Below are 26,632 nucleotides of genomic sequence, written 5' to 3'. Positions count from 1 at the left end.
CTAAAGCCAGTCTATTTTGATAAATGGAGTTTCTAACTTTTGTGGTCTGCTGGGCCAATAAGTCTAATGCATTTGCTGTTTCATTAGTGATAATTTCAAGGACTGCTTGCAAACTTATGATGCAGTTAAGCATGTAAATTGGGGTGCGGTACCCCCATGACCTATCTTGTGCCCAGGTAGCTGGTCCACAGTATTGAATTATTCTTTCAGGTGGCCAATCTGTGTCTTTCTAATCTCCTGTTTTATGTCTTTTTTATGTCTACATTTCTTTCGTTTCTTCCTTTAATTTCATCATAGACAGGATACCCTAAGGTTTCCTTGTGTTGCAGTGGAAGCAAAAAGAAAGATGGCCTAATTGTTCTGAGTACACAAGCCCCTGTCCATTTGGCTGGTAACTGTTGGTAGGCCTGTGGCCCACAAATCCAATAGAGACCAGAGGGTGCCTGCCAGGTATTTGGAGCTTCAAGCTGATACCAGGTATGATTTAGAGAAGAGAAACAGGAGAATGGATTTGGATGAGGTAATTTGGAACTATTTTTACCTCGCAAGAAAGTTTTTCTTAGTGTTTCATTATAATATTGCAGTGCTAAACATATTAATTCTCCTACTGGGTCTGTAAAAGCTTTTCCTCAGCGAGCAACACAGTATCCCCTGATGAAATAAGTTTTTAAGAGCCAGACGCTTGAACCTGTGGGCATCGGTTCGGGGGAAGAGTCAGTCAAAGTTATCTTGTGGCATTAACTCTTTTGCTTTCTAAGTCCATTGGTCTCCTATGTTAGTTCCTCCACAAACATAACATGCGGAAACGCCTAGGCTGCTGGCAGTGTTTTCAGCCAGCTGAGCAAACAGTTTCTCAGCTAAAGGAGGAGGCCCTGGTAACTTCTGGTCTACATGCTTATAGAATGACTTAAAGACCTGGAATTGTTGCTGGGCCGGACGGGTCTGGGTTCCTTTTTTGATAACATATAGGTAGGGTATATGATAACATATAGGTAGGTTGCTGGGTACTTTCTTATGTAGACATGTATGGGGTAACCTGAAGTCCACGTGGGTAAGCCTGGCTTTAGAATGGTAAAGTTTATAGGGGTACAGGTTTTTGTTTCACAATCTGGTTTTACCATTTAGTAAGCATAATTTTAGTAAGCATAATTTAGTAAGGCATTTTAGTAAGCATAATTGGCCTCTGTTGTGTGCTAGGGTGCCGTGATATACAATATCTACAGTCTTTTTCTGTGGTCCCAGGGGAACAAAGTGGCGTTATTCTTGATATGCATATGTATTTGTAGTCATTTCTATAGTATCTTTCTTATATTATTATTATTATACTTTAAGTTTTAGGGTACATGTGCACAACATGCAGGTTTGTTACATATGTATACATGCGCCATGTTGGTGTGCTGCACCCATTAACTCGTCATTTAACATTAGGTATATCTCCTAATGCTATCCCTCCCCCCACCCCACAACAGTCCCTGGTGTGTGATGTTCCCCTTCCTGTGTCCATGTGTTCTCATTGTTCAATTCCCACCTATGAGTGAGAACATGCGGTGTTTGGTTTTTTTGTCCTTGGGACAGTTTGCTGAGAATGATGGTTTCCAGCTTCATCCATGTCCCTACAGAGGACATGAACTCATCATTTTTTATGGCTGCATAGTATTCCATGGTGTATATGTGCCACATTTTCTTAATCCAGTCTATCATTGTTGGACATTTGGGTTGGTTCCAAGTCTTTGCTATTGTGAATAGTGCTGCAATAAACATACGTGTGCATGTGTCTTTATAGCAGCATGATTTATAATCCTTTGGGTATATACCCAGTAATGGGATGGCTGGGTCAAATGGTATTTCTAGTTCTAGATCCCTGAGGAATCGCCACACCGACTTCCACAATGGTTGAACTAGTTTACAGTCCCACCAACAGTGTAAAAGTGCTCCTATTTCTCCACATCCTCTCCAGCACCTGTTGTTTCCTGACTTTTTAATGATCGCCATTCTAACTGGTGTGAGATGGTATCTCATTGTGGTTTTGATTTGCATTTCTCTGATGGCCAGTGATGATGAGCATTTTTTCATGCGTTTTTTGGCTGCATAAATGTCTTCTTTTGAGAAGTGTCTATTCACATCCTTTGCCCACTTTTTGATGGGGTTATTTGTTTTTTTCTTGTAAATGTGTTTGAGTTCATTGTAGATTCTGGATATTAGCCCTTTGTCAGATGAGTAGGTTGCAAAAATTTTCTCCCATTCTGTAGGTTGCCTGTTCACTCTGACGGTGGTTTCTTTTGCTGTGCAGAAGCTCTTTAGTTTAATTAGATCCCATTTGTCTATTTTGGCTTTTGTTGCTATTGCTTTTGGTGTTTTAGACATGAAGTATTTGCCCATGCCTATGTCCTGAATGGTATTGCCTGGGTTTTCTTCTAGGATTTTTATCATTTTAGGTCTTACGATTAAGTCTTATTCCATCTTGAGTTAAGTTTTGTATAAGGTGTAGGGAAGGAGTCCAGTTTCAGTTTTCTGCGTATAGCTAGTCAGTTTTCCCAACACCATTTATTAAATAGAGAATCCTTTCCCCATTGCTTGTTTGTGTCAGGTTTGTCAAAGATTATATGGTTGTAGATGTGTGGCGTTATTTCTGAGGCCTCTGTTCTGTTCCATTGGTCTATATATTTGTTTTAGTGCCAGTTCCATGCTGTTTTGGTTACTGTAGCCTTGTAGTATAGTTTGAAGTCAGGTAGCATGATGCTTCCAGCTTTGTTCTTTTTGCTTAGTATTGTCTTGGCTATGCAGGCCCTTTTTTGGTTCCATATGAAGCCTAAAGTAGTGTTTTCCAATTCTGTGAAGAAAGTCAATGGTAGTTTGATGGGGATAGCGTTGAATCTTTAAATTACTTTGGGTAGTATGGCCATTTTCATGATACTGATTCTTCCTATCCATGAGCATGGAATGTTTCTCCATTTGCTTGTGTCCTCTCTTATTTCCTTGAGCAGTGGTTTGTAGTTCTCCTTGAAGAGGTCCTTCACATCCCTTGTAAGTTGTATTCCTAGGTATTTTATTCTCTTTGTAGCAATTGCGATTGGGAGTTCACTTGTGATTTGGCTCTCTGTTTGTCTGTTAATGATGTATAGGAATGCTTGGGATTTTTGCACATTGATTTTGTATCCTGAGACTTTGCTGAAGTTGCTCATCAGCTTAACGAGATTTTAGGCTGAGATGGTGGGGTTTTCTAAATATACAGTCATGTCATCTGCAAACAGAGACAATTTGACTTCCTCTTTTCCTATTTGAATACCCTTTATTTCTTTCTCTTGCCTGATTGTCCTGGCCAGAACTTCCAATACTATGTGGAATAGGAGTGGTAAGAGACAGCATCTTTGTCTTGTGCTGGTTTTCAAAGGGAATGCTTCCAGTTTTTGCTCATTCAGTATGATATTGGCTGTGGGTTTGTCATAAATAGCTCTTATTATTTTGAGATACATTCAATCAATACCTAGTTTATTGAGAGTTTTTAGCATGAAGGGGTGTTGAACTTTGTGGAAGGCCTTTTCTGCATCTATTGAGATAATTATGTAGTTTTTGTCATTGGTTCTGTTTATATGATGGATTATATTTGTTGATTTGTGTATATTGAACCAGTCTTGCATCCCAGGTATGAAGCCAGCTTGATTGTGGTGGATAAGCTTTTTGATGTGCTGCTGGATTCAGTTTGCCAATATTTTACTGAGGGTTTTCCCATTGATAGTCATCAGGGATATTGGCCTGAAATTTTCTTTTTTCGTTGTATCTCAGCCAGGTTTTGGTGTCAGAATGCTGCTGGCCTCATAAAATGATGTAGAGAGGATTCCCTATTTTTCTGTTGTTTGGAATAATTTCAGAAGGAATGGTACCAGCTCCTCTTTGTACTGTACCTCTGGTAGAATTCGGCTGTGAATCCATCTGGTCCTGGACTTTTTTTATTTGGTAGGCTATTAATTACTGCCTCAATTTCAGAACTTGTTATTGGTCTATTCAGGGATTCAACTTCTTCCTGGTTTAGAGTTGGGAGGGTGTATGTGTCCAGGAATTTACCCATTTCTTCTAGATTTTCTATTTTATTTGCATAGAGGTGTTTATAATATTATCTGATGGTAGCTTGTATTTCTGTAGGATCAGTGGTGATATCCCCTTTATCATTTTTTATTGCATCTATTTGATTCTTCAGTATTTTCTTCTTTATTAGTCTGGATGGTGGTCTATCTATTTTGTTGATCTTTTTAAAAAAACCAGCTCCTGGATTCATTGATTTTTTTGAGGTTTTTTTGTGTCTCTATCTCCTTCAGTTCTGCTCTGATCTTAGTTATTTCTTGTCTTCTGCTGGCTTTTGAATTTTTTTGTTCTGCTTTTTTAGTTCTTTGAATTTTGATGTTAGGATGTCGATTTTAGATCTTTCCTGCTTTCTCTTGTAAGCATTTAGTGCTATACATTTCTCTCTACACACTGCTTTAAATGTGTTCCAGAGATTCTGATATGTTGTGTCTTTATTCTCATTGGTTTCAAAGAACATCTTTATTTCTGTCTTTGTTTCATTATTTACCCAGTAGTCATTCAGGAGCAGGTTGTTCAGTTTCCAGATAGTTGGGTGGTTTTGAGTGAGTTTCTTAATCCTGAGTTCTAATATGATTGCACTGTGGTCTGAGAGACTGTTGGTTATGATTTCTGTTCTTTTGTATTTGCTGAGGAGTGTTTTACTTCATGTGGTCAATTTTAGAACAAGTGCGATGAGGTGCTGAGAAGAATGTTTATTCTGTCGATTTGGGGTGGAGAGTTCTGTAGAAGTCTATTAGATCCACTTGGTTCAGAGCTGAGTTCAAGTCCTGAATATCCTTGTTAATTTTCTGTCTCATTGATCTGTGTAATATTGACAGTGGGGTGTTAAAGTCTCCCACTATTATTGTGTGGGAGTCTAAGTCTCTTCTTAGGTCTCTAAGAACTTATTTTATTAATCTGAATCCTCCTATAGTGGGTGCATATATATTCAGGATAGTTAGCTCTTCTTGGTGCATTGATACCTTTACCATTATGTGATGGCCTTGTCTCTTTTGATCTTTGTTGGTTTGAAGTCTGTTTTATCACAGATTAAAATTGCAACTCCTACTTTTTTTTATTTTTTAATTTTTTTTGCTTTCCATTTTCTTGGTAAGTATTCCTCTATCCCTTTATTTTGAGCCTCCTGCCAGTCTGTGTCTTTTAATTGGGGAATTTAGGCCATTTACATTTAAGGTTAATATTCTTATGTGTGAATTTGATCCTGTCATTTTGACACTAGCTGGTTATTTTGCCTATTAGTTGATGCAGTTTCTTCTTAGTGATGATGATCTTTACAATTTGGTATGTTTTTGCAGCGGCTGGTACCTGTTGTTTCTTTCCATGTTTAGTGCTTCCTTCAGGAGCTCTTGTAAGGCAGGCCTGGTGGTGACAAAATCTCTCAGCATTTGCTTGTCTGTAAAGGATGTTATTTCTCCTTTGATTATGAAGCTTAGTTTGGCTGGGTATGAAATTCTGGGTTGAAGGGGCCTGTTGTGGGGTGGGGGGATGGGAGAGGGATAGCATTAGGAGAAATACTTAATGTAAATGATGAGTTAATGGGTGCAGCAAACCAACATGGCACATGTATACATATGTCACAAACCTGCATGTTGTGCACATGTACCCTACAACTTAAAGTATAATAATAAAAAAAAAAAAAGAAAGAAAAATTCTGGGTTGAAAATTCTTTTCCTTAAGAATGCTGAATATTGGCCCCCACTCTCTTCTGGTTTGTAGGGTTTCTGCCGAGAGATCTGCTGTTATTCTGATGGGCTTCCCTTTGTGAGTTAACCCAACCTTTCTCTCTGGCTGCCCTTAACATTTTCCCCTTCATTTCAACCTTGCTGAATCTGATAATTATGTGTCTTGGGGTTGTTCTTCTTGAGGGGTATCTTTGTGGTGTTCTCTGTATTTCCTGAATTTGAATGTCACCCTGTCTTGCTAGGTTGGGGAAGTTTTCCTAGATAATATCCTGAAGAGTGTTTTCCAACTTGGTTCCATTCTCCCTGTCACTTTCAGGTACACCAATCAAATGTAAATTTGGTCTTTTCACATTGTCCCATATTTCTTGGAGGCTCTGCTCATTCCTTTTCATTCTTTTTTCTCTAATCTTGTCTTCTTGCTTTATTTCATTAAGTTGATCTTCAATCTCTGATATCCTTTCTTCTGCTTAATCGATTTGGCTATTGATAACTTGTGTATGCTTCACAAAGTTCTCTTGCTGTGTTTTTCAGCTCCATCAGGTCATTTATATTCTTCTCCAAACTGTTTATTCTAGTTAGCAATTTGTCTAATCTTTTTTCAAGGTTCTTAGCTTCCTTGCATTGGGTTAGAACATGCTCCTTTAGCTCGAAGGAGTTTGTGATTACCCAACTTCTGAAGCCTACTTCTGTCAATTTGTCAAACTCATTCTCAGTCCAGTTTTGTTCCCTTGCTGGTGAGGAGTTTTGATCCTTCGGATGAGAAGGGGTGTTCTGGTTTTTGGAATTTTCAGCCTTTTTGCCCTGGTTTCTCCCCATCTTCATGGATTTATCTACCTTTGGTCTTTGATGTTGGTGACCTTCGAATGTGGTCTCTGAGTGGACATGCTCTCCTTTCTGTTTGTTAGTTTTCCTTCTAATAGTCAGTGCCCTCTGTTGCTGGTATGCTGGAATTTGCTGGAGGTCCACTCCAGGCCCTGTTTGCCTGGGTAAAGGAGGCTGCAGAACAGCAAAGATTGCTGACTGTTCTTTCCTCTGGAAGCTTCGTCCCAGAGGAGCACCTGCCAGATACTAGCTAGATCTCTGCCATATGAGGTGTCTGTCGGCCCCTACTGGGAGGTGTCTCCCAATCAGGATACACTGGGATCAGGGACCCACTTAAGGAGGCAGTTTGATCCTTAGCAGAGCTTGAACGCTGTGCTGGGAGGTACGCTGCTCTCTTCGGAGCCATCAGGCAGGGACGTTTAAGTCTGCTGAAGCTGTGCCCATAGCCGCCCCTTCCCCCAGGTGCTCTGTCCCAGGGAGATGGGGGTTTTATCTATAAGTCCCTGATGGGCTGCTGCCTTTTTCGCAGAGATGCCCTGCCCAGAGAGGAGGAATCTAGAGAGATAGTCTGGCCACAGAGGCCTTGCTAAGCTGCAGTGAGCTCTTCCCAGTTCAAACTTCCTGGTGACTTTGTTTACACTGTTGCTACAACTGAATTTTACAAGAAAGTTTATAGATGGGCCTAGAGGAAGGTACAGAAGTCTGACAAAAGCAATAACAGAACAGGAGTCACTCTGAGAGAGACTTGAGACTAGGACCTAGAATTTGAATTACTTGCTTGATAAAAAAGACACAAATTTTTTCTATTATGTTTTACTTGAAAATGTGATTTAAGACTGTAGAGTAGTAGAAGATGAGAAAGGAGACAGAGCCTGCATCCATGACAAGGAGATGGCCAGTTAATCATTTTTTGTCTAGATCTGTTATATAAACATAGGCTCGTGGACATCCCAGTTGAATATGCATGGTCACTGCAGCAAAACTATTGCAAGTGCCAAAGCTAGCACAGCTAGAAACATTAGTATCATTGGGTAAATTTAGTGCCAATTAAGTAGAAAAAAATGAATTTAAGTAATACATATTTATGAACCTTAAATGGCTAATAAGTGAATATATAAATTAATTTTTTGGAGAAATCAGGCAAACTGAGAAAGTATACATTAAACAAAAATGTTAGAAATAGAAAAAAAATTCTCAAAGATCCTGTAGACGTAGTTGGAGTTGCTTTGTTAGAAGCACTTTTTTGCCCCAGACTTACTTATTCTATTGGTGACTGTTTATGCTGGTGGCTATTTATGTTTTCATTACAGGTCACATAGACATTTTCTTAGGCATGGTTAAATAGTTAGAGGAAAATTACAGGATAGAAGACCCAACTTGACACTTTATGAAAAGTGAAATAATGGAATCTGTCACTGCCATGGGGCGTATGTATAGTGTCTCATATATGCAGTCCCAGATAAGCTGAACACGTGATTATGTTAAAATCGACGTAGAAATGCATGTGACATGACAGGACAACTCTGATTTGATAATTTTACTGCTGGAAATCAACACAATGAAGAGGAAGAAAGATATCAAAGAACAATGTAGCTGAGTGTGAACATTAAAAAGAACATATGGAAAAGATTCCATGTATAGGGAAAAGATTCCATGTATAGAGTCTGAATTTTACAAAATTCAGCTTCAGCTACTTTTGAGAGGTGACCTTCATTTTCCTTTCTTTACTGTATAAGATTAAGGCTGTCCTAGGGACCATCAACTGGAATCAAAGGGCTGGGCCACTCTGGCTTGAATAATTATCCATGCCTAGGGAAAAAGAGTAATCTTGCTGCCTTATGAAGCAAAACATGTCAAAACAATAGACACACTAAAAAGCCTGAAAAGAAAGTCAGTATGATGTGATAATTTGGAAAATAAGGAAGCATTTTGAAAAGCTTCCATATATTTCTAAAAATCTAGAATGCTACGCTCATGCCCCAACAAAAGTTTTGGGAAAGGTTAAGATCTCATGTATTCTTGAAATTTATTCTCTGAGTAACAGGAAGTGAAGACAAAAGTCGAGTTGTAAACTGCGTGGCTGTGTTAAAGGCATGGTTTATTACAGAGGCAGAGTACAATTGCAAAGATAGAAAATGTGTATTCTCTAGACATGTAAAAAATCCTCTCTCAAATCAAGAGCCAACAACTAATGAAACATAGGTATCAGTGAGCACTTATGACAAATAATACAGCTTTAAAAATAAACTGAAATGGTCACTAAATAAGCAACTGCAACTCACAAGAAACAGCCACAAAGCCTAGGGAGGGAGGAGAATTTGCTATCCAGATTGACTACAGTATAGTATTCAACATGTCCACTTTTCAACAATAAAAAATGATGAGCCAGGCAAGATGATGTGCAGCCAGGTGGCTGTAGTTCACTAGAATCTGAGACCCTACACCACCCTCTGCAGAGCTCTGTGGCCTGACAGGTGCCTGAGGCCCTGCCACCTCCTCCTTCTGATGTCCAGAGCTGTTATCACCCACTTCCTCACAGCCCAACTGTTTTCTTTCCCAGGACCTGAGATTTGGCCTGCCTTTCTGAGGCAGGGCTCCCAGGAGGGAGGCAGTGCCCTCTCAAAGTGACCTCCTGGCCATCCATCCACAGAGACACACCCGTCTCTTGGAGGAGGAAGCTTAGGTCCAGGTGGAAACTGTGAACAGAAGCTGAAAAGAGGCACCTCCCAGAGCTGTGAGTGGCCCTCCTAGGCCTCTTGGGGTGGGTGGTGGAGAGAGCCCAGCAGGCTGTGGTGGGGGCTGTTTCACAGGACTGGGAGGCCACATCTGCCCACTGCCAGATGGTGCCTTCTGAAAGGTGGCCTCCAGTGACCCTCACAGCCCCAGCCCACGTGGGGTGGAAACATCAAACGCCTGCCTAGGACAGCCAGGTAAGCAGGGACATGAAGTGACTCAGGACAAGCAGGGACTCAGGGCAAGGGAACCAGGTGGGTGCAGGGGAGACGAGGGGCAGGGGCTGAACAGGAAGCTGGAAAATGTTCATCCCATCCCAGATTCGATCAACTCTTGGGATCAGCTTGCTTGGTTTTCCCTGAGCCCTGTCCCCCTGGCTGGTTTCTCCTCACCTCCTTGTCTCCTCCATGCCAGAGGGCCCAGGGGCTCAGCCAACACACCATCTGTCGCCAAATTGTAACTGTCTCCACACATCTGTCCCTTGATGACCCTCAACAACATTTGCACGTCTCTCAGCATTTCCAGAACCAGAAGCCACACCTCCCAGCAAAACCCCTCCACAGCTGGGCAAAGTCCCCCTGCCACTGTTCCGGGCCAAATCACCCAGGCATTGTCTCCCTGACTGCTCTCTCACACCCACAGCCCATCTGTCAGAAAAACACTGTGGGCTCTCCCTTTGCCACCCCCATCACCAACCTCCCCTTCCACTGGGATGTGACAGTTGCCTTCTGCTGCCCACAAGGCCTTGGTCCAGCAGGCAGCCTCCTGAGCCCCTGTGACCTGTTGCACTCACATCTGTGATGGCCTACCTCACCAAGAGCCAACACCAAAGTCCTCACAGGCCAGCCCTGGCCTCCTTCCAACCCTGGAACCCCTAGAGCCCTGTGTCTCAGTCTCCCCATCTGCAGCGTGGGTGCTCCCTTCCCACCCCCAGCCTGAACCCCAGAGCCAGCTCACCCAGACAGTGAGCTCCATGGGCCAGGCATCCAGAGCCATGTCAGTGGCCCAGCCCCTCCTGCACCCTAAGGGAACCCTGACTGTCAGTGTGACCCTAGGGAGGTTGTCCCCAAGTCCTTGGTCCCTCATCTGCCTGTGGAGGGCAAGACTTGGTGAGTGGGAAGCAGGCGTTACCCCAGACCAGCCCCAAGTGCCTGGAGTCTGGTCTCATCTGTGTCTTCAGCCTTGGCATCCCAACTTCCTCACCTCTCGAGGTGCAATGCAGGAGACAGGGTGTGTGCGCTGCGGCCCCGTGATGGCCCACGTCCAAGTGCCTGCTGCTACTCAGCTGAGGGCAGCGTCCTTCTGTCCTGGGGCTCAGCCTTTGACTTTCCCCAGGAGGACCCCAGCTGTCCCTCACTGATGGGGTTGGAGCCCCTCACCCCCTGGGGGTGCCCTCCTCTCTACCAATCATCAGACAGACCCTCACGGAGAGGATGCTGTGGCCATACCTCCTGAGACCCTTTGGCCACTCCTGGGCCAGGTAGCCACTCAGTGAACATAGCCACCAAGGCCTCCTACCCACAGACTGGTGCAGATCCAGCAGGCACCCTCTGTCACATGCACACGGAAGGGGCACAGCACGCACTGGGTGAGCTGCTGCAGCTGTTGGCTCTGATTTCTTCATGGGAGGAAGTCAGCGCCTGCAGTAGTTGGGGCCCATGCAGTCCAGGACACCAGCCCTGCACTACCCTTGACCCCAACAGTGAGCTCCATGGGACCTCTGCCAGGTGGGTGGCAGCTCAGCTCCACAGAGTTCCCACTGCCAAGGACCAGTTGTTCCTGCAGGCAGGCCCACCTCAGGCCCGGGACCTCAGCGGGTGAGATGAGTGACTGTGAAGCACACACACTGAAACCTGGCACACAAGGCCTCAACATCCCCTTGGGAGGCCCCTGGCACCCCTTCTTTACAGGCATACCAGTGGAGGCCATCACAGCTGTGAGTGGGGAAGGATCTGACCCAGAGTCTGGGGTCCTGCCAGACAACCTCAAACCCTGGGCTGGAAACTGTTTCTCTAAAGGGGTCAGTATTATCAGCTTTGGCAACCATTTTCTGTGCCAAGGACTTAACTGTGCCATTGTAGCCAGACAGCAGCCTTCCCCAGGCCACCTGTAAATAAACAGGCATGGCTGGATTCCTGTACAGTTTTATTCATGAACCAGCAACATTCAAATTTCACAGCATCGTGAAGTATAATTGTTTTGATTTGTTTGAACATTTGGAAATGTAAAATCCACTCTTAACTCACGGGCGGCACAAAAGCAGGTGGGGACAGGCTACAGTTGGCTGACCTCTGGCTGAGATGGAGCTCAGAGGAGTGGATGACAGGGTGGGCAAGCTCAGCCCCCTCATGGTGGAGATTTACCCCAGGAGGGGTGGGGTCCCTCTCCATCCCTCCTCTTGGCTTCAAGAGCAGCTCAGGTGGAGAGTGGGGGAAGAGAATGGGCCTCAGCAACAAGGACAGAGATGCCAGCTCAGGCAGCCGTGTGGACAGATCCACTCAATGGTGCACACTGCAGGCGCCATTTACACCAAGCTGAGCACAGACACAACCAGCCCAGGAGATCGTGGTGAGGGCTATTTGGTATGGGGGTTCTCTGGGGCAGGGAGCAGTCTCTACCCTGCAGCTTATCTGGAAATGCCATGCAACAACCATTACAGAAAACACACACTGAGAAAAAGAGCAAAATATAAATAGGACAGCAGGTCTGGCCAGTTGGGTCTCACAGGCCAGTGGAGTGAGGAGGCCCAGGTGGGCCTACTAGGGTGGTTGGTGGTGGGCTCCTTCCTATAGGGAGGTTGGGACCCCCAACTCACAAATGACCCACATAAAGTTCCCACAGGCTCAGGGGAGAGTCTGTCAGTCATTAGGCAAGGGGGTCAGAGCTGGAGCCACACAGCAGGTGAGGAGCCCTGGTCATTTTGCCCTGAGGGCTGAGGAGCTGGGGTGGGGGCACACACCCAGGGGCAGATGCACTCAGGTGGCTCCCAGACCCTCCCCCTGCCCAGTGCCTGCCCATCTCCCTAGGGCCCACCAAGGCCTGAGACCCAGAGACATAACACCTGATCATCACACCCGGGCTTCCCTGCCAAGGCTAGACAATGCTCAGTGGAGGCAGGCAGTCTGGGCTTGGGGCCAGGACAAGGGTGGGGGTCCCACTGGGTAGGCCTGCTTCCCCAGACCCAGCTGGGATGGTTGACCCGCCACTTGTCATTCTGTCAATGTGCAACCTAGATGTGAGGGGCTCACTGCAGACTCTGGCCACACCAGTCACACTCCCCAGCCAGGCCCAATTCTGCCCATCCCACCTAACCTGGCCCCACATGTCCAGTGCCCACCAAGATCCTGCCAGCCAGAAGGACCCATGCTCACCTCCTAAAGCATCCACATGTACCTGCATCCCATAGGGACCCACAGCTCAGGGACAGCCCCTGTGGACCCCCATGGTCAGGGGGTCTCCTGACCTAACCCCCAGCTCTCCAGTCCTAGCCATCATGTCTTTTGGGGACCACCAAACACTGGCCGCCGATGGCCCCCAAGAAGGCAGAGAATGGGCTGGTCATGGCAGCCTCAGGCCTGGGCCCTGACCCCAGGGAAACAGCTGGTTAGTTCTGATTTGGACTGAGCATTAACAACAGGTCAAGCCATGTGCACAAGTATTCTCCTCTATCCGGTCCAGCAGTAGGCTGGGGGACCCAGTGCAGCCCCGGGACCAGCCGTGCACAGTGGTTCCAGCAGTGTGGGGTGGGGATCAGGGAAAGGCCCCGCACTCAGCCAAAAGTTGACCCCTGACCTGTTCACCCACCCTGCACAGGGACCCCAGACTTCAGGCAGAGGCAGGCAGTGGAGTTGCCATCTCCTGGGATCCCATCCAGGGTCCACAGAGGCCTGAGAAATCCTGGCAGGGGCTGAGCTGGGGGAGTCAGGCAGGGGCGGGGGGGGGGAAGGCAAGTAAAGGGCAGCATGCAACTGGGCATGACTGGCACTAAGACTTCAGGGTCTAGCTGGCCCTGAAAAGGTGACAACAGGACAGAGTCCAGACGAGCCCCTCCACACCCCAACCAGCTGCCAGGCACACATGGTGCCCCTCACTTCCCCAGAGGCCCCAGGAAGGGCTCTTTCTTAATCAACACAATGGGGGCCCCACCCACACCCACACATGCAGTGGTGTCCACACATATCAGAGAATGAAATTCCTGCTGTGCCGATATGGGGGACGAATTTCCCTGCCCCCACATTCCCCAGCTTCATCCCCACATGGCGCTGAGCTTGGGGTGCCCAAGCCAACAGCCCATTGATGCAGCAACCCGAGGGATGCTGTGTCTTGAAGGGACCTGTGAGGCCTAGGGGGCATTTCACAATCAGAGCATTTCCCTGACTTTGTCATTCACCGGCCCTCTGCCTCAGTTTCCTCCACTATGACACAAGGAAGAAATCCTGCCCCACAGACCTGGGGTCTCAGCGAGGCCACCACACCAGGTTAAATGGCTGGAGTGTACAAAAGCCGGGATGAGAGTCCCTGCCCGGGGTATCTCGCCCTGGGACTGAGATCCACCAGTCCATGGCCAGGCCAGCCTGTCAGGGAGGGCTCCCAGTTCCAAGTCCCTGCAGTTGAGGCCCCCAGCGCATTGGGAGGCACAGGGTCGGGTGGAGTGGAACAACGCCCCATCATAAGAGCCCTGGGCAGACCTTAGAGAACAAGCATTAAACTGAGACTCGAATCTGAAGCCAGCTCCGCCAAAAGACTTGGCTTTGGGGTGATATGAGAGCCGGGGTCAGGGAACAAAGCGTTCTGGTTTTAGGCCCACAGGAAGATCTGTGAAGCGCTCTTGGGTAGAGCACACGTTGCCGGGTATGTGCTTGAAAAGAGCCTAAGAAGAGGGGGCGCCAGGAAGGAACCCCGACGCCTAGGGAGAGTCCAGCCTTCCCGCTTCAGCACCTGGCCACATTCCGCAGTTACCCAAGCCAGAAAAAAAAAAAAAAATCCAGAGGCCAGGGAGGCTAATGGGGCTTTACTGGGACTATTTGGCCTAATCCTCCAAACAACCCTGCCATAGCAGCCCATCAGTCCTCTGCGACAGGTGAGGAACCTGAGGTCCCAGGAGGACACCCAGAAAGTCTAGGCGGAGCCCCGCAGGCCTCCACACTTCCCCGCGTGGCAGCTCCAACCCCAGCTTTTTAACTAGTAAGTCACTCGAGCAGCTGGGCCACTTCCGCTCCCCCCGCGGGGAGGCAGCTTCGCGCTGCCGCCTGGCTGGGGACAGGGACGCCACCTCCCGCTGGCTGCCACCAGGGGGCGCGCCCGCAGGGTCCCGGTGCCGGGCGGCGCATGTGCAGCGGCCAGCGCACCGGCTCCTGCCCTCGCCGCGGCCTCTGCCAGGACCCCGACACCCCGCCCGACCCTACCCTCAAGCGGGGCTGCGGCCTCACCGTCTGCAACAGCCGCTCCGTCCGGCATTTGGCGTGCTCCCCGGGGCAGAGGCCGCGGTGTCCTCAGGCTGTGGCACCAGCCTGCGACCCCCACGCCCGGCTCCGGCCCAGGAGGAGGAGGGCGCTGCTCCCCGGGTAGGGCGACCGGTCACCTGGGCCGGGAGGGCGGCGCAGGGGCGGAAGCGGCTGTCCGGGCTGCTGCTTTGGACTTCTCCGCCCTCTGGCCGGCCCGGCCGCGTCGCCCAGGGCTCCAGGGCCGCCTGGCGCCACCCTCTCCCAGCGCCGCGGTCCCTCCGGTACCTCCCTGGCGGCTGCGGAGCCCTCCTGGGACAGGGTCCATAAACTCTCTAGAGCGGGAAGTCGCGCAGTCGCGGGGCCGTCACGGGGACCGCTCGAGATCCGAGCCCACTGGGTGCCCCGGACCCTTCTCTCGCCGGCCCGGCCCCGCGCCCAGACCTAGCGGCCGCTGGCGCCTGGCCCGCTGCGTGGGTCTTCGGTGAGCTAGCTGCCCACCCAGTGCTGCGGCCTCGGCTCCCGCATGCGCGCTCTGGTGGTTCCTTGCTAGGGGCGACCCTGTGGGCCAGCTTCCCACGCCCGGTCCCCAGGCCGCGCCCAACCCGGCTCCCTGGGCTAGGGTACTGGCTCCTCCTGGGGGCCGTGGGACTGGGAGGCAGGGGCGTTAAGGGAGACGGTGGGACCGAGGGCAGCCCCTGCTGAGTGCACCGCGAGGTCGAGCGCAGGCCTCTGTTGCACAGTGCGCGGCTTTTGCTGGGACTGTGCTGGGGCTCAGAGGGTGGTATCAGTGCCAGAGGCGATGTCAGGGAGGCTTCACCAAGAAGAAGCCGCGGAGCTGACCCCTGGGGTGTGAGCAGGTCTTCTTCAGGTGGAAGAGGGCAGGACCGAATTGCAGGTGGAGTCAACTGTGTTTTCGCACACCTGGGGGGTGAAGGGGACGCAGTCTGTCTACCTGACCCGTGAAATGTAGGAGACTGTACCCCAGAAGCAGCGGGTTTACTGCTGCATTGATTAACCAAGTCTGGAACAAACATGTAGCTAAGCTGCGAGTTCTGTGCCAGTGGTCCCAACACCCACTCCCCCAGGAAAACACAGCTTTGGAGGTTGGGTGCTTGTCAGGCCTCAGAATGGAGAGCAGGGGCCAGAGACACCAAGCAGGGGGAACCCACCCTAGGCCTCTTGAGGGACGACGATGTGGGGAGCTGGTGGCAGAGCCTGAGCTGGCCCGAGGTTGCATGGTGGGGACAGATTCGAGGCATAGTAGGGACTGGTGACCTCAGTTCCCAGAATGTCCCAGCCTGGCCTCCTGGTCCAGCTAGCAAGTAGTGGGTGCTGCCCTGCAAAGACTCTGGGGGTGCCTGGGCCCCCCCTCACCAAACTTGACTGGTGACTTCTGTGTTCATCCTCACAAGAAGAGGGATTTTCTCTCACTTTCAGGCAAGCCCAGGAAAGTCAGGGGCCTATGTGAGCCAAAGAGGAGAGAAGGCGATGCTTTAGCCCATTGTTTCTGCCCCGCCTGGTTTGTGGCCTTGGGGACTTGATTTGCACCACAGGATAAAGGGCAATGAAAGCCCCTCCCTGACTGGCTTCTCACTCCACTCTGACCAGCCCATTGCACAGCGCCCACCCTGCAGCTCCAGGTACAGCCTGTGCACCTGCAGCTCCAGGTACAGAGGCTGGGCTGGTTCTGGGCTGACCTCAGGGCCTTCTGATGGTTGCAACCCTCAGGATGCCTCATGCTCACCCCTTGGCACCCACCTGACAGCTCAGCATGTCTGCTATATGCCATCCTCAATGCCTGCTCTAGACAAGCCCAAGTCCCCCAGGAGTGGCAGAGGGAACTGAGCTGGGAACTAAGTCCCAGCTCACTGAACCCCAAGTGGGCCTCCCACTTTAGGTCACAGCCCCAGGCAAGTTCCCTTCAGGGATGTGATCCCAGGGGCCACAGCAGCACGTTCTGGCCTAACCTATTCACTACTCAATTAGTTACTGAACAGGCCAGGATGGGCATGGGCCCTGACATTAATCCCCTTTCTCTGTGAGGGGGCTGGATTGGGTTTGCCATCCTGATGTCTTTGTGGAAAGAGCTGGCAGGTGGAGCAAGTCTCAGGGGCCAGCCATAGGACAGGGAACCTAGGATTCGCCTCTGCTGGAACCCTGTGAGGCCCCTGCAGGCAGGAGGGTCCAATGGAGGTCCAGGCACCTCTCCCAGCTTGGTGTTCACAGCTCCTCCCTGGCCCACTCCCTCTACACTTGCACCTGCTGGTCTCTGGGAGGAGAGCATCCATCCATCTTCTGCATGTAGCTTTCTGCTGCATTTCCATGAGGATGGTCTCCTTGATAGAATGCCCAGCAGGGTGTCCTGAGCCTGTGCTGGCTGTTCTCTAAGTGCCAAGTCAGTGAGAGGGACTTGAAAACTCAAGACTTATTAACATTATTTTCTGGTAAAGTGCAGAAAAATAAAAAAAATAAAAATAAAAACCCTGCTTTCAGGGTTTTTTCCTTAAAATGTGTAAAAACAAATATTGAAATTTCTATCTTTTATATAATTTGGATTCTGTCATCACATGGACCTTTCATTTTCCTGAAATTTATTTTTATATATGTATATCAAACATTGAATTTTTATTTTCTTCTTTACTGAAATTGTTAACCGTTTTAGAGGCCAATTTTTTTTAAAAAAAAATCATACTTCACAAACATTAATAAAATGTAGGAATTTATTTATAATGTTATTATACTTTTTTCTTTCTTTTTTTTTTTTTTTTTTGAGACAGTCTCGCTCTGTCACCCAGGCTGGAGTGCACTGGCCCAATCTTGGCTCACTGCAACCACTGCCTCCCAGGTTCAAGCAATTCTTCTGCCTCAGCCTCCCAAGTAGCTGGGATTACAGGTGCTCACCACCATGCCCGGCTAATTTTTGTATTTTTAGTAGAGACAGGGTTTCACCATATTGGGCAGGCTGGTCTCGAACTCTGACCTCGTGATCCGCCCACCTCGGCCTCCCAAAGTGCTGGGATTACAGGCGTGAGCCCCCGCACCCAGCCTATACTTTTTAAAGATGTGAATAATTGCATTAAAGACTTTATATTACTTGTATGAATTAATTTACATTTTTCCACAATCTTGAAAAATATTTTAGCTAGGTATGCAATTCCAGATTAACACATATTTAACCTACAACTTCAAGCTTAATATCTATTGATATATCAATTTCATGAAGAAGTTGAGAGACAAGATTAAAATCTATTGTTCCATAATTTGCATTTTATATTTCAATGAGTTTAATTCATTTCTTTTATTTTGGTGTTAACATTTTCATTTATGATGTTTTTAGATATGTATACCTTTTGTGCTTTTCTTGGTTGATATTTGATGAGCCTGTATTTCATCATTCTTTAAAATGTTTAAACATGTCTTATTTTCTACTATTTTCTCTGTTTATTTAAATGTCTGTTTTGAAAATTCATTAGAAATAGCCCTTTCATTCCATTTTCAATTTATTTTCACCTCTATTTTATATTTTCTATTCATTTTTCTTCTTGTCCTGACACCTAAGTATAGATTTCAGTTCATTCTTTTACTCATATTTTAGCTCATATTTTTTACATTGCCTGTATCCCTCTAATCTGTAAATGTTTCTAATTACATATATATTTTCTATACCTAATACACTACTTTGGAATTCCTTGAGGCCTAATTGTATAGGGTGCTCTGGTTTTGTTGTTGTTATTTCTGAATGACATTGACTTCGGTGGTCTTCATTTTGCATGTTTAAAAATATTAGATTGTGTGATTATATTTGACAGGTCTTAACTGATGTGCCGTTCAGTGCTTTGGGTTGAGCTTTGGGTTCGGTTGAGTTTTGGGTTGGAGAATTTTCTTCCACAGGAGACTGTCTTGGATTTTTCTGTTTCTCCCTCAATATCCACCTGGAAAACATTTGAATTAATTTATAGTCACTTAAATATTTCTGTGCAAAAACTGTGTACAGAAGCCCCAAAGTAACAATGGGCTGCCTTCCTTCCTGAATCAGCCAAGGCATAGCCTGAGGAGCTTCACTGTTTATCTTCCTTTGACTGCAGTCTGAGTATTCTAGGCCATTTTTCTTAGACTTGTGGAACTTTGAGGCTTTTCCTTTAGTTAGGCTGGTCAGTTTCTTCTCCCCTTCACTGGTGTTGCTGTAGCATTGTATCCACACCCAAATGCTGTTAAAACCCAACAAAGGATGCCCCTATTATGACTGCACCATCATGGGCAGCCCCACCCTGCCAGCTTTGCTGTCATCCTCCCTCCTTCCTGCCACCTCTGCTTCTTCACTTTCATTCCCCACTTAGGAATAATTTGCCCAGTTGAGCACATATTCTGTTGTCCAGCATTTATGGTGGTTTGTAGTGGAAAAGATTTTTAGAATATGTGGATTTTTGGAATATTTCCTCCAAAAGCCCAGATAGCCACACTTTACCTTTGGAGGAATTATTTCTCAGAATACTGCACACAACCGCCTTTGGAAGGAGCATATATCCCCAGCAAAAGCTCTGATTTTTTGAAGTCTGTATTGTGTGTTATTTCCAGGAGAATATAGCAATGATGATAATGTTATTAAACAATTCAAATATGAAATGCTGTTATGCCTAACATAAGGATTTTACGTGATCATGCCTTTTGGCTGAGGAGAATACTCCTGTCTTGTTGGAATTATTGATAATTTGACCGTAATTGCTAATGAGTCAGAAAAATTAGGAACACCAAGTTTCAGTCTTCTCAAGAGCACTCCTCTTATTAAATTTGAACTTTTACCTTTATCACATGCAAAAGAAATATTTTTAGAGAAGTGTTTAATGTTTTCCAGATGGATATATTACTGTTATTAGTTATCATTTTATTAATTTTTAAAAGCATAGAGTTGGAAGTATCAATATGTCTTTCAATATACCTTAGTGGAATTTATTAAATTTTCATGGATATCCTGTAGGAGGTTGAGGAAGTTATTTCTATTGCTAGATTTCTGGGAGATTTATCAGGAATGAGTGTCAGACTTTGTCAGATGTCCATTGAAATAATCATGGTTTTTTCCTTTATTCTATTAATATGGTGTATTACATTGATTGATTTTTAAATTTGTATTTGTAAGATAATTCCACTTGGTTATATTGTCTAACATTCTTTTCTAATTTTCTTTAATTTTTATCAGAGTTGAGGCCTTACTATGTCACCAGGTTGGGGTGGAGTGGCAGTCATAGCTCACTATAGTCTCAAACTCCTAAGCTCAAGTTATCCTGCCACCTCAGCCACTTAAGTAGCTGGGAGTACAGGTGTGCACCACCATGCCAGGCTTGTCTAACATTTTTATGTGTTGCTGAATCCAGTTTGCTAGAGTTTTTGAAGCTTTCTGTCGTCATTCATGAGGAATAATGGTCTGCACATTTATTATCTTGTGATGCTTTTGTCTGATTTGTTATCTGGGTAATACTGGCCTCAAAAATGAATCGATGTTTTCCTTCTCTGTTTTGCAAGTGTTTATTAAGGATTGGTTATTCATTAAGTGTTTAATCGAATTCACTAGTGAAGCTATCTGAGCCTGGGCTTTTCTCTGTGTGAAGAGTTTTCATTAGCTTCATCTATTTACCTGTTGTATGAGTATGCATATATTCTATTTCTTCTTGAGTTTACTTTTCCAGTTTGTATATAGCAGCAAATTTGTTTCTAATTTGTAGTATTTCATGCTTCTAGGTTTTCATGGCAATTGAGATGTAAGAATAAAAATAATGTTGGGAGAAGAAAGCTGTGGACAATCCATGAATAACCCAACATCTGTTATAGGAAGGAGAAGATTGTTTTTCTTGCTGTACTTAATACTCACATTTATAGTGTGAGACAAATGTAATGCTGTATCTAAATAGAACTAGGAAAATGTGCCATTTGTCATAGTATTTAATCAAGATGGAAGTCTGAGCCTACCTCCTCTCTTTTATTAATATGTAGACAGAACACCAACATAAATTTGAATAAGGACAAACAAAATGTTAGCAAATGAAGAATGGTATGAATGGGTTAAAATGTGATGAAACAGAGTGGTGAATATTTACATAGAATCCATGATGTGTTAGGCGCTATTTCAAGCTATTTGCACATACAGTTTTAATACCAATGACTTTAAAATGTATAACACAAAGATTCATATAAATAAAAATTACAACATTGAAAATAATATTAGGTGACACTAAAACTGTCATAGAAATATACTTTTCTATAAAACAAATAAATTAACATCAAGTATGAAATAAACTTTAGAAAGTTTGATTACTAATCAGATGAACAAGTGATTAGCCTTTTTAGCCAGGAAACAAGGCATACACATTATTTTCAAATTCCAGAGACAAACATTTTAAATATTGAAGTTTAAGACCTAAAAATGTATCACTGATTTTGTGGAAGTAGATATTCAATAGGTGACATTTTCTAGGCTCTGTGAAATTACATCAGAAAATGTGAATTAGAATATAACCCATAAATAATATCTAGCCACATACAAAGTAATTGAAGATCAATTTAAATAACTATTGGATTAAGAAATAGAGACTGAGGTAAATTTACAGGGTCAGTGAGGATCTAAGGAGGAAGCATTGACACTGGAGCCCAAGGACCTCGTATTGCAGAACAGATTCTACCAGTGCTAACTTCCTGCTACAGAGAAAATATCGATTATGTTCATGTGCAGGTGCTATTCATGAAGAAAGGAATTAGAACTTCAGAAATGTGTTCAAAATATATCCCTACTTTGACATATTAATGAAGTAATCACATTCTACACATAACTACTCCATATGGAATACTGGGGAGGGGGTGTTCCAAATAAAGAAACTGAGGATTTCTCATGAGTACTCAATGTCTGCTAGAAAATATCTAAGTAAAATATTTACCTTATGTGGACAGTGTTGATGTTTGTGCAATAAAAGTTTTGAGAATACCTAAAATGTACAATGGAGATGAGGAGAAAATATCAGAGTTCCCCAGGACCAGAAATGAGGCAAGAAAAAATTCAGAGGAGTTGTGAATGTGAAAAGCCAATGGCTGGTCACACAGCAACACTGAAAGTCTTGTGCCAGGCCAACTAGAATAAATACATAAACATACAGATTGAAAATATTTACAGTATTAGATCTCTGTGTTGTGAGAACTAAATTATAAATATTGAAGCATACAAGAAAATAAGCTACCAGAATTTAAGCTACCAGAATAGATTACACATACATTTCTGATATTGAAATAGTCACAAATATTTAAGTCAATACAGTGGGAAAATATGAAACCAAAATAATGTTGAAAAATCAAAAATCTTTAAATTTGAAGAGCATATGTGAAAAGAGCCAAGGATAAATTGAATAGCTGAAAAATAAGGTATAGAATTTGAATATACATCATATTTGAATATTCATCTTATGAATATACATTGTATTAACTTTGTAGGAGCTGCTGAGAGGAATAGTGCACTGGGAGATTAAGCAGAACAAATTTATAGTGAAAAAGGTAAACTGACATAAAACATAAATATAGATAAATAAAGACTAGAATAGGAAGGGGTAGAACATATACAATTACTTCACTGGCATATATAAAAGGAATAAAACACAACAATCAGAAAGTAATAATTTTATAAGATAAAATTAAAAACCAGATACAAATCTTTTAATTCAGACATGCATAGTGTTCAAAAAGAGATAAATAAATATAAATATTGATGCAGAAATAATAAACTACTACTGCATAGTAAAAAAAAGGAAGGGAAAACTACAGAAATATATATCTGAAAAAAATAGATTTTACATCATAAATGTTATTTACTATATGGTCAAAATTATCACATATGATATCTTTTTTATTCCATTCAATGTTTTCTTGATTTTTTACACTTTTCTATTTTTTAATTTTTAGTTTACAAGATGTCAAACACTCAAAATGTTTTCTTGATTAATTCTATCATGAAATTTTAAAAATAGTCACATTATTTTGTACACCAAATTATATATACATATATAGATACACACACACACAAACACACACACACACAGCACACCAGCACATTCATAATCACCCATATAGAATGCCCATTATCTATACTACCATAGTATGGGGCTCAGTATTTAGAAAACACTTTTTGTAGTTCTAGATCTCTTGCCTAATATTTATCAACTAGAAGAGTGATAGTCATATAAAAATACCTCATGAGTGTTTGTATATCTAAACTAAATTTTATTTTAAAGAAGAGAGTCACTAAATGGAAAAAAAATTTAAAAACAAACAGACTCCCTCACATCACAGCACCCAGACTGCTTCTCTTCTTAGTCTCTCTTTTACAAAGGTTTAAGGACCCTTGTAATTGCATTAGGCCAAACTTCCAATTCAAGTTAATATTCTTATTTTTGAGTCAGCTGATTGTCAAACTTTATTTCACCTGCAGCCTTAATTCTGCTTTGTCACATACCATGATATATTGCTAGGCCCTGGGGGTGAGACATAGGCATCTTTTATGGCATTATTTCACTTTCCACAGGGCTAATTAACTACATCTCCTTAAAATAATCCTGGCTCTTTTTGAGTTTTGTTTCTATCCCAGAGAAGTATGTAAAAAAATTTTTTTTTTAATCTCAGGAGGAAATTGCTAAAATCCAGCTCTCAATGTTAGAGGACACAGACTACCTTTTTCTGCTTTATGACATCAATGAATTTGCATTAAATTAATTCCATGGCATTCCTTTTCTTAAGACTTTATACAGGAATACTTTCTCATGCCTGGGAAAAATACTAATTTCTCTAACAGTAAAGATAATTCTCCACATCTTAAGCAAGATATCTCTGTATCAGAACCCTTTATAGACATACAATTTCACTGAATAATTTTGCAATTACTCTCTCATGTTATTGTCACGGATACATTCACGTAAGTAAAGTATTTTAGGAAAGTGAATAATATATGGTGAATTCATATAGATTCATATATATATACACACACACACACACTGTGTATAAGTCATATCCCATAAAGAAATAATGAAATTAGATAAAATAACATAGGTAAAAATTCTATTTTTTTCCTCTCCCCATGGGGTAACCAGATCATACACTCTAATTCATGTTACACAGTCTCTAAATGTTTACCACATATTGCAAAACAACGTATCTGGTGAATTATCAAACGTGTTTTTAATGAGGTTTTTGAGGGCATTTATGCTACGTCTTGAGGAAAGAAAAGTGGTTTTCATAAACTAGAATTGAAAAATAAAATATAAGGGGATTCAGGGGATCATAGTGGATGGGAGGCAAGACTAAATTGCAGCTTCGGACAGAGCAACATGCAGAGGCTTGCACTGTGAATTTTAGCTCCAGGTCAACTGCAAGAACAAACCATCAATTCCAAGAGGATCCACAGACCCTCTGAAGGAAGTGGACTGCCCCTGCAGGACCCAGGAGATACCCCAAATACTGTGAATGCCCCAACTGTGGAAGTGGGAAAGGGAGACCCTCCTCTCCTGAACACATACCCCCACTGGAGAAGCTGAAGTTCTGTTTGCAGGAGAAGTTTCCAAGTTTACCTGGAGCTGAGTCAAATTAGAGAGGTGAGCAAAATACAGGGGTAGAAGAAGCAGCAGAAAGATCCTGGGAGCTTGCTGGGTCCCCAGGCAGCCCATTCCTGCCTGGCACCACAGGGATCCATCAGGAGGGTGGCCAGAGAAGCAGGGGGTAAAACTCCACAGGGAGAAGGAATTCTCTAGCTGAACTTTGTAACAATTTGAACCAGGCAAGAACTTTGTAAGAATTTGAACCGTACCCTCTCCTGGCCAGAACTCAGGGGAGGGTGCGAATCTGGTGTGCAGACTCCACAGTTAGGGGAACTACCAAAGCCCTTTTCTTTCACAGCTGGGAGGCAGATATCCTTGGGCAAATTTTCAAGCCCCTCTAACCCTCCACCTGGAAACAGACTCAGGGCTGTTGGTGGCAGGGTGGTGGGTGGTGGGAGTGAGGGGAGTGAGAACAGCCCTTCAGTTTGTGTGGGAGCTGGGTGAGCCCTGTGACTGCTGGCTTTCCCCCACTTCCCTGACAACCTGCATGACTCAGCAGAGGCGGCCATAATCTTCCTTGGTAAACAACTCCAGTGACCTGGAAACCACCCCCATTCTCCACAGCAGCTGCAGCAAGACCTGCCCAAGGAGAGTCTGAGCTCAGACATGCCTAGCCCTGCCCCCACCTGATGGTCCTTCCCTACCCACCCTGGTAGTGGAATACAAAGAACATATAATCTTGGGAGTTCTAGGGGCCCCGCCTACTACTGGTCCCTCTCCACACTACACAGCTGACACTTTCTGGAAAGTGCCACCTCCTGGCAGGAGGCCAACCTGCACAAATATGAGTATTAAACCTCAAAAGCTAAGGACCCTCACAGAGTCCATTGCACCCTCCACCACCTCCACTGGAACAGGCGCTGGTATCCATGGCTGCAATACCCAAAGATGGTTCACATCACAGGACTCTGTGCAGACAACCCCCAGTACCAGCCTGAAGCCGGGTAGACCAACTGGGTGGCTAGACCCAGAAGAGAGACAACAATCACTGCAGTTTGGCTCACAGGAAGCCACACCCATAGGAAAAGGGGGAGAGTACTACATCAAGGGAACACCCCATGGGACAAAAGAATCCGAACAACAGTCTCCAGCCCTAGACCTTTTGTTTGACAGAGCCTACCCAAATGAGAAGGAACCAGAAAACCAACCCAACCCTGGTAATATGACAGAACAACGCTCTTCTATACCCCCCAAAAATCACACTAGTTCACCAGCAATGGATCAAACCAAGAAGAAATCCCTGATTTATCTGAAAAAGAATTCAGGTTAGTTATTAAGCTAATCAGGGAGGGGCCAGAGAAAGGCAAAGCCCAGTGCAAGGAAATCCAAAAAATGATGCAAGAAGTGAAGGGAGAAATATTCAAGGAAATAGATAGCTTACAGAAAACACAGTAAAAAATTCAGGAAAGTTTGGACACACTTTCAGAAACGTGAAATGCTCTGGAAAATCTCAGCAATAGAATTGAACAAGTAGAAGAAAGAAACGCAGAGCTCGAAGACAAGGTTTTCAAATTAACCCAATCCAATAAAGAGAAAGAAAAAAAGAATAAGAAAATATGAAGAAAGCCTTCAAGAAGTCTGGGATTATGTTAAACAATGAAACCTAAGAATAATCGGTGTACCTGAGGAAGAAGTCAATTCTAAAAGCCTGGAAAACATATTTTGGGAAATAATCAAGGAAAAGTTTCCTGGCCTTGTGAGAGACCTAGACATCCAAATACAAGAAGCACAAAGAACACCTGGGAAATTCATCACAAAAGATCTTAGCCTAGGCACATTGTCGTCAGGTTATCTGAAGTTAAGACGAAAGAAAGAATCTTAAGAGATGTGAGACAGAAGCACTAGGTAATCTATAAAGGGAAACTTATAAGATTAACAGCAGATTTATCAGCAGAAACCCTACAAGCTAGAAGGGATTGGGGCCCTATCTTTAGCCTCCTCAAACAAAACAATTATCAGCTAAGAATTTTCTATCCAGTGAAACTAAGCATCATATATGAAGAAAAGATACAGTCATTTTCAGACAAACAAATGCTGACAGAATTCGCCATTACCAAACCAGCACTACAAGAACTGCTAAAAGGAGCTATAAATCTTGAAACAAATCCTGGAAACACATCAAAACAGAACCTCATTAAAGCATAACTCACACAGGACCTATAAAACAAAAATACAAGTTAAAAACCAAAAACGAAGTACACAGGCAACAAAGAGCATGATAAAAGCAATGGTACCTCACACGTTCATACTA

General features: G+C 44.5%; 3 annotated features.

Annotated features, from left to right (window-relative positions):
- Positions 9,425-9,925: an enhancer, noted in NCBI's record as "H3K4me1 hESC enhancer chr1:227735098-227735598 (GRCh37/hg19 assembly coordinates)". NCBI's record gives its function as "activates a minimal SCP1, AML or CMV promoter by ChIP-STARR-seq in naive H9 embryonic stem cells {active_cell/tissue: H9 hESC(naive)}" and the evidence as "EXISTENCE:reporter gene assay evidence [ECO:0000049][PMID:30033119]".
- Positions 14,462-15,061: a silencer, noted in NCBI's record as "silent region_1897". NCBI's record gives its function as "represses an Ori minimal core promoter by ATAC-STARR-seq in GM12878 lymphoblastoid cells {active_cell/tissue: GM12878}" and the evidence as "EXISTENCE:reporter gene assay evidence [ECO:0000049][PMID:35858748]".
- Positions 24,240-25,439: an enhancer, noted in NCBI's record as "MED14-independent group 3 enhancer chr1:227719584-227720783 (GRCh37/hg19 assembly coordinates)". NCBI's record gives its function as "activates an origin of replication core promoter dependent on BRD2, BRD4, P300/CBP and CDK7 cofactors, and independent of MED14, by STARR-seq in HCT116 cells {active_cell/tissue: HCT116}" and the evidence as "EXISTENCE:reporter gene assay evidence [ECO:0000049][PMID:35650434]".

The sequence above is a fragment of the Homo sapiens genome, chromosome 1 (genome assembly GCF_000001405.40).
Source record: "Homo sapiens chromosome 1, GRCh38.p14 Primary Assembly".
Lineage (NCBI taxonomy): Eukaryota > Metazoa > Chordata > Mammalia > Primates > Hominidae > Homo > Homo sapiens.
The sequence above is the reverse complement of the archived record's forward strand: the minus strand, read 5'-3'. Positions and strand labels throughout refer to the sequence as shown.